Source organism: Homo sapiens, chromosome 1, assembly GCF_000001405.40.
Source record: "Homo sapiens chromosome 1, GRCh38.p14 Primary Assembly".
NCBI classification, from domain to species: domain Eukaryota; kingdom Metazoa; phylum Chordata; class Mammalia; order Primates; family Hominidae; genus Homo; species Homo sapiens.
The window spans coordinates 50,308,607-50,323,941 of NC_000001.11; the positions used below are offsets into that span (position 1 = coordinate 50,308,607).

Consider the following 15,335-nt stretch of genomic DNA (forward strand, 5'->3'; position numbering starts at 1 on the left):
AGGCTTCACTGACTATAGGAACCTCCTAGTGAAAACAGATCTGAATTTAGTCAGAGACTTGGGCTTGAATCTCAGTTCTGTCACTTACAAGTTGTGTGACCTTGGGTCAAGTCATTTTTACCTCTCTGAAACCCAGGTTCCTTACATTTATGAGAGGGGTGAACCAGGCCATCCCTTCTAGCTCTAAGAGTCTAGGATTTTATAAGCATAAGAAAATTCATGTCATCTTTTCAAACTCTAGTAGATCTGGGGTAGTGGAGAAGGATACATGATTAACTTCTGAGTGGCGGCTGTCACGCATAGGAAACAGAAAAGTGCACCATGCCTTAAGTGGAAGGCACTGTCCTCAAATAACACATCTCATAAGCACCACCGGGCCCTGGCCTGCCTGTGTCCTTTATCGAGGCCGTGAGGCAGAGGCTGTTTCAGAACCATGGATAGCTCCATGGTGCTGCCCCCAAGGCCGGGAGCCTAAACAGGCCTTTCCACCACCAACCAGATGTTCCTGTTTCCTCAGCCAGCTTAAGGCTAAAACAAACCTTTTCAACCAGGGTTTATCAGAGTTTCTAAATTACATACTGGGAAGAAATTTAATTGGTTTAATTAAGAAAGTTTATTTCATGGTAATTCAGTTTTGTTATGCTGCAAGACTTAATGTGTCCTCTGGTAGGAGCGTCTGTTATAAATATTCATTGCCTCACTCAAATACCCTCTCCTGACCCTAATCTCCCTCCCTTACCCCATAGAGTTTGAAAATGTGTCTGAAGAATATTGAGGAAAGTGAGGCCTTCCTGAGCAAGGACACCAGTCCTGGACAAGGTCAACTGAATTCAGTGTGGAAGGCATAGAAGGTTGGAGTTAAAGGGGCTTTACAGCTATAGTGTGCTGCTCCTGCATCTTATAGATAGGGAACTTGGGCTTAGAAGGGAAAGGAGAAAGGGTAGGTAACACACTTAGTCAACGGCAGAGCTGGACATAGGGACCAAATCTCCTGATTTCCAATCCACTGCTTTTGTCTCACAAATTCTAAAGTTAAACTATTTTAAAACTAACTCTAGAGATCATCTGGTCAACTTTCTTATACACAGAAGAAAAAACTAAGGCCTAAACAGGAAGCTAACTTGTCCTAAGCCACATACAAACCCATCTACCTCCCTTCCTCTGCAGGATTCCCAAGCCCTGAGAATCATGCAACTTCTGCTGGATTACCCTCAGTGAAAAACATTTCAGTATTACATTTGTGCACCTAATGCTGGTCATTAGGGGATGAAATTGAGATTTGACATTACTTTTCCCTGAAGGAGTTTACGGTCTAGTTGGGGAAAGGAGATAAAATGAGAATAAGAGACATAAATGATAATGATGGGCTGAGCTCCGTGGCTCACGTATGTAATCCCAACACTTTGGGAGGCCATTGTGGGTGGATCACTTGAGGCCAGGAATTTGAGACCAGCCTGGCAAACATGGTAAAACCCCATCTCTACTAAAAATACTAAAATTAGCTGGGTGTGCTAGTGCACACCTGTAATCCCAGCTATTCAGGAGGCTGAAACATGAGAATCACTTGAACCTAGTAGACAGAGATTGCAGTGAGCCGAGATCACACCACTGCACTCCAGCCTGGGCAACAGAGTGAGACCCTGTCTCAAAAAATAAAATAAAAATAAATTATAACAATGAACACCCCTTATGCATTGCTCAAACTACTCACAGTTTCTCTAGTGTGCCCTGATCTCTCCTGCATCTGTGCATTTGCACATGGACACCATTCCCCAATGCAGCTGCTTTGTCAACCCCAACTCATTCTTCAAGACCCTGGAAAACCTTTCCAACCTCTCTCCTGACACACACAACCATGACTGTCTTTCTCTCCTGCGTGCCCCACTCTCCTCTACCATCCTTTCTCATAGCATTTATCACGCTGAACAGTTACTTTTTTCACTTGTCTGTCTCCCCACGAGGGTAAGCTCCTTGGAATCACCAGTGCCAAGAGCACTGTCTGGCAAAGACTAGAAGTTCAGCAAATAGTAGCTAAATGGATGAGTATGAAACTGATTTAATGTGGAGTTTCAGCTCACTGGGTTATAAACCCAGAATAGTTTTATTTTTCCAATAATTGCTACCAACTGTGCTCTGTTGAACCCTCCCTTTTCCTGCTGGGTAGCAGACTGCCTTAACAAACTCAATCTGAGGCCATAACTTTTCAGTCACTTCCACTTACTAGAACAGTTTTACTGGGTTCTTTAGGATTCAATCCTATTTAATTATATTTTGTATTCTTACGTTTGATTCAAAGCTCTTCCTACCCAGCCCCTCTTATTCCCTGCCTCCTCCCCTCACCATCCCTAATCCAGTTCCAGCATCTGCTCCCACTCACCTCCTCCCTCTTCCACTGCTCTGGCATTGGGGTGTGAGGAGAGAGACAGGAGGTAGCAGACTTCTGGTGTAACAGCTCACAGTGAGACAGTCCTCTCCTAATTGTACCCTAGCTGCTGACCTGATTTTTTGTCTGTGGGCTCCTTACAGGTGCAGGGGAGACCCCCATAAACCCTACTGATGGGTGCCCTCCCTGACCAGCTTACTATGCAGTGCCAATCCCAACTGAGATTTGCCTTATCATTGACTGACACTCACTGTCATAGTCTCACAAACCCAGTGCCCTGATGCCCCTCACTGTACAAGGTCTCTAATCTCATCCAATCTCTGTGAGGAAGAAAGTCTTTGCCCCTTTTGTCTGGCTAAACCACCACCCTTTTCTCTCTATGCTCTTCGTTTGCTATGGCATAACAAGGCCAGGTAGTTAAATGAAGAAACACAATGTCAGTCTACTTTTCCTTGGGAAAAAGTTCAATCCTTTGTTTCTCCCAGGGAAATGGGAGAGGAGGTAACAGCTTTTTCTCCTCTTCTAGGGAGAAGAGGTCAGAGTAGGGCTGGTTTTTAAAACCAGGAGCCCCTCAGCCAGTCCTGTGAGAAGGTGGGCACCATGACTCTTAGTCTGTTTAAAATGTAAAGACTTTGTGCCTTTTTTTTTCAAGCAGTAAACTTTAGGTGTCAATTCCTAGCTGGGGGCAGGGGCAATGATCTACTCTGCACTTCACTCTGTCCTTCACACTATTTCCTGGAATTGAGGCTAGCACAAGAGAGGTTTTAAAAAGAGTGCTTCTTTGTGGGTAAACAGGGGAAACTTCCTTAAAGCAACAGTCTGAAGTTGAACCTTAAAGATTAGAAAGAATAAAATTGCTGAAGAAAAAATGTGATCTCAGCATGGGGAAGAGGAAAAGGAATCATCATGACATTGTTCAGGAGATAGCACAGTGTTCAGTGTATAGTAGGCATTCAACAAATAAAATGAATTAAACTGTTCCACCTACAACTAGAAGTTCTTTCTTAAACAAACAAAAAAAAAAAGCAGGGACTGCGTAGCTGGACAGACTGAATTCAGACCACCACCCTTCCATTAATTTGGCATCTTCTCTAAGTCTTTTGATCTCTCTGAGCCTTTCTTTCCCCAGATTTTTAAAAAAGGATAATAAAATCATTTAGAGAATTGTTATGAGCACTAACAAGTTGCATAGCACATTGTAGCTGATAAAATGCCATGTGTCCACCAAATAGGTTTATTTTCCTCCTAGGCACACAGTTGCCTTAAGGAACCAAGAGTCTGAATTCTGGTCAGTAGAATGTGGGCAGAAGTGAGGCATGCCACTTCCAGCCTTGGCCCCTAAACCTCCCGTACAATCTTCCATACTTTTCTCTTGCCCTTGTCAATGAGGGTGAAAGTGAAAGAATCCAGGAAGGTAAAGTTAGAAAAGATCTGTTCCCAAGAGTCACTTGGTCTACCACTGACTATGGTGGTTAAGACATAAACTTTTGTTGTTTAATCCGCTGGGGTTTGAAGGTTGTGTGCTCCAGCAGCAAGCACTTTACTTCAACTAATACACACATATAAAGTACTTGGTAAATATTGGCCATTATTGTTAATTATATTTTTATATCACTCTTTAGTTCACAAGTACTTTTTATTTCTTCACATAATTGATTCTCACAGTGCCCTTGTAAATGAATATGGAGAACAGAGAATACTGCCCCATTTTATAAATGAGGAATCTGAGATCAAAACGCACAAGTGAATGGAGGTGCCCACTAATTACACACAAGAAAGGAAGTCACATGACCAAGACAAAAACCATTATACTTGACTGAAGGCCCCTCTTATTCTGCCTGAATCTGAACAGTTGTTTGCTGGGTCACATTACCAGCTCTAGCCCCGCTGGGATCTTTCCAGTCCACAGAGCAACAGTGCCAGGGAGAAACCCAAATTTCTTAGGGTCAGTGGCAAGACACAAGAAGTTAGTAATTCCCAACAAGCCTCAAGTATGAGCAGATAGGCTGGATATCAGATACGAAAGTCAGGTGAGGTAACATCACCAATTCAGAAGACCACATGCCACCATGGAAAGAATGAAGGGATGTGGATTCTAGTTGTAGTTCTGCCATCATCTTGCTGAGCAGCCTTGGGCAAGTCACTGTGCCTCTCTGGACTTCAGTTCTGAATCAAAGTCTATAGCGCAACATCAGGACTGACGGGTCAGACTTTCCTGGGAGGCCTGGGGCCCTCTTGGTTGCAGAGTGATTAGAGTATCCCACCTCCAGGGGACCTCAGGTTTTCCCCTCAGAGGCCAACTGAGAGTGGGCCAGCTCCAGTCCCCACCCTCACCCCACTCAGCTCCTCATGCTCCAAAATCCCAGGCAAAAGGCATCTGTCACCAAAACAAGTGGCCCGCCATTTCAGCAGGGAGCAAAAGCTGGGAACAAATGGTGTTTTGTCTAAACAATTGTTTCGAAGAGCAATTCATTTTCCAGGATGGCTTTTTTTTTTAATTATGTTGGTTCCCTAATTAGGTTGGGACACAAAAATAATTTCCAATGTACAGATAACAAATGCCTCCATCTGAGGGAATCAGCTGTCCTCAAACTGCCAACCCTGGTGAATCACCACCTGCCAGGGATGGAGGAGCCTCAGAACCAGAGACCACAATGTGAGATCCTAAGAGGAGAGGGTAAGCCAGGCGCAGTGGCTCATGCCTGTAATCCCAGCACTTTGGGAGGCTGAGGCAGGCAGATCACGAGGTCAGGAAATCGAGACCATCCTGGCTAACACGGTGAAACCCCACCTCTACTAAAAAAAAAAAAAAAAATACAAAAAATTAGTTGGGCATGGTGGCGGGTGCCTGTAGTCCCAGCTACTCGGGAGGGTGAGGCAGGAGAATGGCGTGAACCCAGGAGGCGGAGCTTGCAGTGAGCGAGATCGTGCCACTGCACTCCAGCCTGGGCGACAGAGAGAGACTCCATCTCAAAAAAAAAAAAAAGCAGCAGGTAAAAGGTCACACACAAATTAGAGACCAGAGACAATGCACTCTTGACTCTGAGTGTAATGTCTGGCCAGTAACTGTTACTAATATAAATATTATCATTATTGTCATTACTATTGTTGTTATTTTAGAACTAGACAGAGCTAGGCTTGAGTCCTGAGCCTCCACTTACTAGTTATAAGCCCCTTTTTAAGTGTCAACTTTTTCATCTGCAAAATGGGTGAATAATTTCTATCATCTCAGGATGATCAAATAAAAAAATATGTAAATTGTCGGGCCCTTAGTAAGCAACTTACCATTCTTAATTAACATTCAAAAATAGGTAGAAAAAGACCCAGAGGAAAAAAATAGCACTGTGGTTAAGGGCACAGATCTAGAGCTGGATTGTAGGGGTTTGAACTCAGTTTACCATTTATTAGCTATGTGGCCTTAGGCAAGCTACTTACCCTCTAGCGCCTCAGTTTCTTCATCTTCCAAATGTGGATAACAACAATGATTATGATAGTGATGATGGTGATAATTCATATGTCATAGGGTTTTATGAGAATAGATGCATACAGTAAGTATTATAAAAGTGCTAGCAGTTATTAATTGCAATTTTGCTTCATTCCCGCTAGGTCTTGAACTCAAGTTTCCAGCTATGAGTCCTGAGTTCCTCCTGGCCTCTGACAACAGCTGCCTAGGCCATGGGGCAGAGTGAGGAGAGAGGGGTCCCCCCCACTTTCCACCAACACTGCCTCAGTTCTATGCCAGACCTAGCTCTGCCATCTCTTGATTGTGTGACTTGAGCAAGTCCCAAGGCCTCTCTGAGTCTCCTTGCCTCCTCTTTAAAGGGGGTATACTAATTTTTGTCCTCCCACCTTCCAGGCCACAGTGAGAACTTGGTGTGAAAATTCTTTGAACGCTGAGCAGGAGTGAGGCAAAATTGGAATTAATATCTGCTAACACTTTTATAATACTCACTGTATACACCTATTCTCATACAACCCTATGACATATGAATTATCACCACCACCATCCCTAGCATAATCATCATTATCATCCACATTTGGAAGATGGAGAAACCGAGGTGCTAGAGGGTAAAAAGTGCTAGTGGCTGAAAGTGGGCCTAGGAGCTACATGAACCAAGAAAGATGAGTGAGAACAGATAACACTGCATGGCTAGCTATGAAGGTGGGCAGGAAAAACTAAGGGTGATAACTTTACCTGAATTGATTTGACCTGTAGGGCCATTAACTTTATGCCTCCCACTTGGTTAGGAGCAAAGCCAAGCCTGACTGCAGCTACTTGCAGCCTATTGCCTCTGCTGCACAGATTAGAGAGAAGAGAGCAGTCGCCACAGAGGAGGAGGCCAGTCAGGGTCAGGACTAGGGTGAGATGAGCAAGGTGCCTAGGGCACAAAATTTAAGGAGGCCCCCACCCTCCAGATTGTGCAAGTGCCTCCTTGGTGCTTCACTTGCCTTACCCTACCCCTGACCCTGAGATGAAAATAGGCCCCAGCCTGGGGATCAGGACCCCTGTATTGAGGTCCTGGTTCTGCTACTTGCCAGGCAATTAGGGAACTGGATTTACCTCTTCCCAAAAATAGAGGTGTGCATCCCTACATTCAAGAGTGATGTGAGGACCGGGTGAGAGGTGCTGAGCTCATACAGTAAAGGCAGCCTTTAGTGACCACCTGCTCTGCAGACAAGGAGACATGCTCCCCACCTGCACTCACCAGCCTCTCCTTTACCCCCACTCCATAGCCCAACCTGTGTGTTCACTCCTAGTATAGGCCCCACACCCCTGCACAGGCTGCTCTTACCTTCTCTCCAGGCCACAGGACCCTCCCCTTCTCATCTCTGGCTGTCTCAATCGTCTACCTTTCCTTCTCTAACCGCCAAGCTCCTCCTCGCACCCCTGCCACATTAGCTCCACAGGACACACATGAGCTGCTCTCGCCCCTGAACCATTTTCTGTGTGCTGGCCTCAGATCTCCAGCAAGAAGGGTATTATGGACTTAATTTTGTCCCCCTAGAATTCATATGTTGAAGCTCTAATCCCCAGTGTGACTTTCTTTACTTGGAAATAGGACCTTTAAGGGGCTAATTAAGGTTAAATGAGGTCATAAGTATAGGGCCCTAATCCAATAGGACTAGTATCCTTCTAAGAAGAGGTAGAGATGCCAGGAGTGTGCACCCACAGAGAAAAATGCCCTGTGGGGACACAACCAGAAGGTGCCATCTACAAACCAGAAAGAGAGGCCCTACCAGAAACCAACCCTGATGGCATCTCCATTTTGGACTTGCAGCCTCCTGAACTGTGAGAAAATTAAGTTCTGTGGTTTAATCCTGTAGTATTCTGTTATGGCAGCCTGAGCAGACTGATAAAAAAGGGCCTGTATCACATTTCACATGTGATCTTGGATGGTCACTTCCTTCCTCCAAGACTCTTTCTATAGCTGAGAAAAGGAGTTAGCATGGCTAGGTGGTTTTCCACCAGCAAAGTCACAGAAGCTTGAAACAGATGAACTGCACTGCCAGGGAAGGTGTGCTCTGAAGACGCTATGTGTGATGAGGCTAAGGGGCAGGGCCAGGTTGTGAGGGTCCTGCTAAGCCACGCAAAGGGCTGTCTCCTTTCTGAGGAGGGGCAGAAAGGAGCCATTGGAGAGTTTTGAAGAAGGGAGTGATATGGTTTGTGTTTTAGAAGGGCCACGCTGGCTGCTATGTGGGACCTGGATTGGAAAGGCAGTGAGGAAGGTGACATGGAAAGCCAAACATGGGGTGCTGCAGGAGAAGGGACAGTGTGAATGACATCAGGAGACAGAATAGATAGGATGTGCTTGTCTGGATGGGGAACAGGGAGGTTAGGGATGCTGTGCCCCATTCTCTACTCAGGAAGTGGCTGGGTGGGCCGGACCAGGGTAGAGAGGGGCCTATGGATGTGGAGGTACTTTCTACATTGTGGTGGCAGGGGCTGGCGGGGGGGCTGTTGTCTACCCTAGCAGCAACAAAATACTAGGTACATGACAAATGCTTGAAAAATATCGGCTCAATAAATAAATATGAAGAAATGAAATGTTAAGGTTACCACCTTGGTCACACTCTTGGTCTAAAATGGAATCTCAGCTCCCAATAATGAAGCTGGCAATCCCTTTAATTACCTCTTTGACCTCTCAACCAGCCATACCCCAGCAGGACCAGAACCAGAACTCAGATCCTACTACTCAGGGGCCATTTGCTATGGGACTGATGCTTTCCCACTCAACACCTGTTTTAATTCCTGCAACAACAGTCTGAGGGAGAGGAGATCAGCCCCATTTTAGAGACGAGGAAACTGGGGCTCAGAGAGGCTCAGCAGCTGGTTCCAGGCCACCTTCCTTCACTCCATCCCATGGTTTCTTGTTTCCTTGAAGGCTACGAACTCTTCACCTTTGATACAGAACAAGAACAAATTCCTGGAAGTCCTCTGCTACACCATTTGGCTGGAAAATATTTCTTTAAAAAGATATGCTGTCATCTTCTCCTTTTTTCTTCATATTTCAGAGTCTTGGGCCGCAGCTCTTAATCTGCTGGAAAATATAGCCTAGCCATGTATCCTGTCACTCTGATCTGAGGCACAGCTCTCAACCACAAATTATTTCCACTTCTCATTAAGAATATACATTCATCACATTCTATCCAGGGCCCAGTTATTCCTCCCTGAAACATATAATTAGAATAAAATTAAAAATTCAGAGTGTCAGAATATTCCCTGGCCTGACCCCTTATTGTCACATGGGGAAACTGAGGCCCAGAGAGGAAAAGGGGCCAGCCCAGCATCACATAGCCACTCCATGGACTTGAACCCCCATTTCCTGACTCCCCTCCAGTTGTCCTCCCACAGTCCTTGCATACTGTAAATGAAATCAAAAACTACATGCAGGTCACTCTTGCCAATCTGCCGTTTTGTTTGAGATGGATTCTGTGTGGTTTTATTACTGAGTTCTGAGCTGCCCACTGGGCCCTCCCTCACTCACTTGCTTCTAGAAAAGAAGTAACCATGTAGCAGAAACACATGCTAACACGGTGGTGTAAAGACCCCATGGAACAAGAAAAGGTGAGCAGAAAGAGATTTGGGGCAGTTGAAAAAAAGGTGGGAGCCAAAGAGCAAAGAAGCAAATGAACCCCTATTTTGAACATCTACTCATCTCAGACACTGTGTTAGAAAAGGTGTGCTCATGTTCTTGTTTAATCCCCTATGAGGAGATTATTAAGACTTCCATCTTAAAGATGAGCAGATTGAGGCTCAGGGAGATTAAAGTAACTTGTCCAAGGTAACTTGCCAATGGGGTGGAAAGATTCACAGTCTGTTTAACCCCAAGTCCAGTACTCAGTCTGTTACATCTGGCTCTCTCTCATGTACAGATTATGTGCCCTTGGGTAGGTCTTTTCCCTCAAGTGGCCCCATCTGGAAAATGAAACAAGTATAGCTTCATCACTGGAGAAAACCAAGAAAAAATAGAACAGTAAGAGACACAATTAGAAAGAGACAAAGGGAGAACCAAGCCTCTCTGCCAACCAAAGCCATTAACAGCAAACTCTGCTGATCAGAGCAGAGGTGGGTTTATGTGCATATCCACTGCCATCCCCACCCTACCCCCCAGGTGTCCACTTTAATATGACTCAACCTCTCCCAGGTTGCTCCTTGGCTCTTTGGAATGTCCCCCCACCAAGGGTAGGGCCTCTGATGGGTTTCCTCTTCCCTGCACTTGGCTCCCAGACTTTTGAGGCCCTCCCTCAGTGCCAGCCCAGCAACAAGCTCACAACCTCCCTTCCTGCCAGGGAGGCCAGGACAGGGAAAGGAAAGGGGCAGGGAAGCCTGGGTCCCTTCCAAAATGCCCATCATGTCCATACTAGGTACTACAATCTCAGAGTCATTCAAGTATGTGAGAGGCCCTATGCAGGGACAGAGAAAGACAAAACTGCAAACAAAGAGCATTAACCTGGTTGAGCCTCAGTTGCCTTATCTGTAAAATGGGCACAGTCTTCTTCATTTAACCCACACACAACCTATGAGGTAAGTGTAATCGTTAACCCCATAAAAGTTCAGCCCAATTCACAGAAAGTGCTCAGTAAACTAGAACTATTATATTACACAAAAGCACAGTCCCTGCCCTCAAAGAGCTCCCATCTTAGTGGGGAGGGTGTGTACCCAAGTAACAAGGTTTGCTACCATTAGGTGAACAACTCCTCTTTTCAGGCACTGAATCTGTGGTATTTCTAATCTTCACAGAATCCTACAAGTCCTAGCATCTTCCATTTGGCACTGAGGAATCTCAGGCCCCTAAAAACTTGCTTCGGGTCACTCAACTAGGATTCCAAATATTAATACCTCCTCTCAGCCCACTCTGTTACAAAGTAGAAATCAAGAATCTCTGGAGTTGACATCCAGGCCAAAGTCTGTATTATTCCTCATTAGCTCTTTTGGAGGCCTGGATTGGGACATTAGAAGAAATCAAGCTAGGAGGAAGTCCCAGCCAGCCAGCTGGGGGCTGGCCCAGAACTGTAGAGGCCTCCGAGGCAAGTGGGTAGCCAAGCCAGAGAGTGCCCACTTCATGGAGTTTTTAGAAGGAGCCACTGGGAAGGGCCAAGCTTCCCCACTACAGAGCCTCTGGGAGGGTCCGGCAAGACCGACAAAGAGGCTGGGGCCATACCCAGGTGGCAGAGAATTAGGCCTCACCGTGACTATGAAGATGGAGAGGAAGGGATGCCCTGTCAACAAGCATCCACAGGACTATCCACTTCAACCCTTTGGGGAATACAAGGAAAATGCCTGAACCCCCACCCTCCTGAAGCCTTCACTTCCCTCTGTGAGAGGGGCCCTAAACATAGGAGAAGGGAATAAATTATTCTTCATAACAACCCCATGCTGCAAAAGTTATCATAAATCCCAATTTTCAGATGAGGAAACAAGGCTCTGAGAGGGGAAGCAATTTGCTCCAAATCACACAGATAATGAAGCTAAGCCCCTCTAGTTTTTGCTCCTCTGAGCCACATCACTCATCCCCTCCTTGTCCAGTTTATCTTGTTCTTATAAGAGGAGAGGAAGGAACATATGGACCTTCACCATGGTGTTCCTATGGGCTGGCTGCATGAGATGCACTTCTAAAGATTTTTAAACATACTGATCCCCAGATCCTGCCCATGCAGATTCTGATTCAGATGGTTTGGACAGATTCTACAAATCTGTACTTTTAAATAAGTGCTGAAATTAATTCCAATTTTCAGTGGTGGCTAAAAGCAAGATGACTCCCTTGAAATATTCCTCATTTCCTACCTCTAGCCCAAGGCCCAGTGAGTAGCGTGAAAAGCAGCTTCTGCACAGCAAAAGAAACTACCATCAGAGTGAACAGGCAACCTACAGAATGGGAGAAAATTTTTGCAATCTACTCATCTGACAAATATCCAGAATCTACAAAAAACTCAAACAAATTTACAAGAAAAAATCAAACAACCCCATCAAAAAGTGGACAAACGATATGAACAGACACTTCTCAAAAGAAGACATTTATGCAGCCAACAGACACAAGAAAAAATGCTCATCATCACTGGCCATCAGAGAAATGAAAAACAAAACCACAATGAGATACCATCTCACACCAGTTAGAATGGCAATCATTAAAAAGTCAGGAAACAACAGGTGTTGGAGAGGATGTGGAGAAATAGGATCACTTTTACACTGTTGGTGGGACTGTAAACAGTTCAACCATTGTGGAAGACAGCGTGGCAATTCCTCAAGGATCTAGAACTAAAAATACCATTTGACCCAGCCATCCCATTATTCCCGACTCCTTCGGGGACTTCAAAAGAGCTTTGCTATGTCTCTCTGTTCCCTCTGCTTCATCCTCCTGTCCAATGTCAACCACCCTTGAAGTCCAGCTCCAATCTCTCCTCCTTCACAGACACCCCACACTACAGGCTAAAATAGACCCCTCCTCTCTCTGCCCTGTGATATAGTTGGCATTTACTGAGTGCTAATCATGTGCTAGGCTCTGCAGTGAGCCACCACAATCATTACCTCTTCTAATCCTGGCTACTACATGAAGTAGATGCTTCTATTCTCCCCAATTTAGAGATGAAATGCAGAGGATTAGGTCACTTGCCCAAGTTCACATGGCTAGTAAGTGGCAAAGTTAGGATTTCACCTTGGGAAGACTGGCTCCAGAGGCCCCACCCTTAATTGTGACATGACACTGCCTCTACATACCACCATTAATGTTCTCATAACCTCCAAGAATTTCTCCTATGGTGGGATTTTTCAGTGCAAATTAAATACAATATGATCCTTTAATTAAAGAGCGCAATTTACACTGAGCAGATCACAGTTAGTTATAACACAGTGGAGGGGAGGAATCTGCTACAGGTGAACTAGAGAAGGAGATGGTAGGCGCTGAAGAAGGCGTGTCCTGATGTCTTTAGGATGCCTCCTTAGAGGGACTCGATGCTTTGTTACTCCAGCAGAGGATTGTCAAGGTGATTGGAGGTCTGAGCTAGTGATAGTGCTGGGTGACAGGGGAAAAAAGGCTGTTCCTCTTGAACAAAATCATGAGGAAGTCTAAAACTGGATTTGCTCTGTGATGTTCATCTTTTACAGCCATACACTTATAGCTGTAAAAGCACCTTTATTATTGACATTCCTGAAGGAAAAATAACATTTTTATGGCGTCTGACACTCTCAAACCCCTAACCTCATTTTCCCCATTGAAGCAATTGTCTCTATAATTCAATTTTTTATAATACAAGATTTCTTAAGAATGCAAACTCCACATCCTAAGAGAGCATAGCACACAACTGGTATCCTTCAGGATGTCTGTCTTCCCTGATTGAGCTCCCCAAGGGTGAACATAGGTCAGCTCCATAGCTGGGGCCTCAGAAACCAGCACAGAGACCAGTCCAGAGCCTGGCATGGAGCAGGTGCCCAACAGCTGTTTGCTAGGTGCTGCCTCTGCCACCACCTGCCATCCCTCCTGAGAACCCACCCTTTATTTCTCTTCTGTGTCATGTCCTTTGGTAAATGTAACATCTCCAGCTGGTTTAACCTCCCCTGATCTGTCTCCTGCAAACAGCCTGAATCATTGCATGCCAGAATTGCCCAGAGCCCTTATTCATGTGAAATCAACACACACCATCTTATGCTGCCACCACTACCATTACAAAACTCTTAGCAGCCCATAGAGAACTGAGTTCAAATCCCCCCTCTCCTTGACACCAAGGAGGCCAGGTGGCAAGCCCTGGATCACACAGGTCCCACAGACCCTATCAGCTCCTTCTGCTTTCATACACAATTAATTTAGCAGAACCCAGAGGCTCCCTCAAGGCAGGAAACAGCACCCTGAGAGGAGGGCAGGTGGCTCTGATGGTGGCCAAGGGTTTGAATAGGCCAGCCAAGTCTACAAACTTAGACACTGAACTAGACCTGCTGTTTGCCTCAATTTCTCCCTAAAAGCCCAAGACCACATTAGCCATGGGATGGTGACACTTCTGCTCTGGTGACACCACTGACAGTCCTGCACCAAGAGCTGGAAGCACTGGGCATTACCTTCTATTCACACAGTTGGCAGCTGTGTGACTTTGACTTCCCCTCTCTGAGCCTCCATTTCCTCACCTGTCCTTCTCCAGGGATGCTAACACCTGCCTTGCACAGTTATTCAAGGATCCCATCACCTATTGGGCATAAAGTACCTAACACAAGACCTGGTCCACACAGGTGTGCTCAGTAAATGGAAACTATTTGAAGGTTATGATGATGGTGGTGATAATGATGATGATGATGATGATGATGATGACGATGATGATGATGAAAATCTCTTCTCAGCAAAGTGAGACCAAGGCCTCAGTGAGATTTGGAGCCCACCTGAATAAGCACTGAGCATGTTTATCCTGATGGGTCAGGGGACACTATTAGAAACCCGGGTGAACCCAAGTGCTACTGAAGGTTATTATGCCCAAACCTGCCCTGCCTTCACCTTCTTCAAGTCCTTGAGTAAAGAAAGTAACCAGGACAATAATTAGAAAATAGAAAGTTAAGTGACACTGATTTTTAACAGAAGCTTTGGCCCCAAACTCAGTGCTGAAAATTGAGCAGGCCTATGGGGAAGTCTCCTTACCTGGATGAGGTGAACCCCTCTGGTCAGAAACTAAGCAGGCCCCCATCTGATTAGTTCAGCCCATGACCAAATGGAAATCCCAAACACTGGCAACACAGCCCCTCTGTACCTGGATAAACAGAGAAGGAGACCAAGGATGAAGGAGAGAGGCTGACCAGTGTCTTAAGAAGAGCAGGGATGGAGCCCAGACGGCAGTGGGGGAGAAAAAAAGGCCACAGCCATGGGCAGACCTTGGTCACCTCTGAAGTCTCTAGAAGCCCCTGGCCCAGAAAAGATCCCGCAGAACACCTCTCCTCTGAAGGAAAATAGAGGGGCCCCCAGATTCCCCCAGGGCCTCTAGGTGGGCCCAGTCCTCTGCAGCTGGCATGGGAGCTGCAGTACATGCTGCAGGCCCTGAGCCCTCCCACTTCATTTCTTGCTGTCCCTGTGTCTCTGCCCCAGCCAGGCCAGCCCCTTGCTGGCTACGGCAGGCAGTGAGACCTGGCTCTAAGGATTCACACAGACACTGTGCCTTGGGATCCAACCCAAATCCTTTAATCTGGTGTTTCAGGCCCAGGTCTCTCCTCCCTACAGCACCAGGCACAGTGCACCTCCATTCCATTCATCCACATCCCTGTCTTCCCATGCTCATTCCAAGCTCTGTTGCCTCCAAGAAGCCCGCCCTGCCTGCCCCAGTCCCCTCCCTCTTCTGAGCCCTCACCGTTCTTCCTCTCTGGTCCCTCATTTGATAAATCAGCTGTAAAATCTTTCATCAGAGAACACCTTGTATTGCTCTGTCTTAACTTAGGATCCTGATTCCCCAGCTCTAGAGAAAGCCCGTTGAGCTCTTAATCTGG

The 15,335-nt window shown here is 46.0% G+C and overlaps 1 long non-coding RNA gene across 6 annotated transcripts in view, besides 1 other annotated feature; it reads right to left on the minus strand.

Annotated features, from left to right (window-relative positions):
- LINC02808 (long intergenic non-protein coding RNA 2808) overlaps nucleotides 1–12,518 on the minus strand; it is a 55,193-nt gene extending 42,675 nt beyond the window's left edge. For 4 of the 6 annotated variants that reach the window (XR_947322.3, XR_947318.3, XR_947317.3 and 1 more), the window contains exon 1: nucleotides 12,411–12,518. This is a non-coding gene — a long non-coding RNA (long intergenic non-protein coding RNA 2808). Of the gene's footprint in view, nucleotides 1–8,606; nucleotides 9,053–9,301; nucleotides 9,801–12,410 lie in introns of those variants that run through there. The other 2 variants (XR_947323.3, XR_001737634.2) reach the window with 2 other exon arrangements.
- Nucleotides 376–589: a silencer, noted in NCBI's record as "fragment chr1:50774654-50774867 (GRCh37/hg19 assembly coordinates)". NCBI's record gives its function as "represses an EF-1alpha promoter that drives an FKBP-Casp9 reporter gene in an ReSE screen in HepG2 liver carcinoma cells {active_cell/tissue: HepG2}" and the evidence as "EXISTENCE:reporter gene assay evidence [ECO:0000049][PMID:32094911]".
- Nucleotides 12,519–15,335: the final 2,817 nt, after the last annotated feature.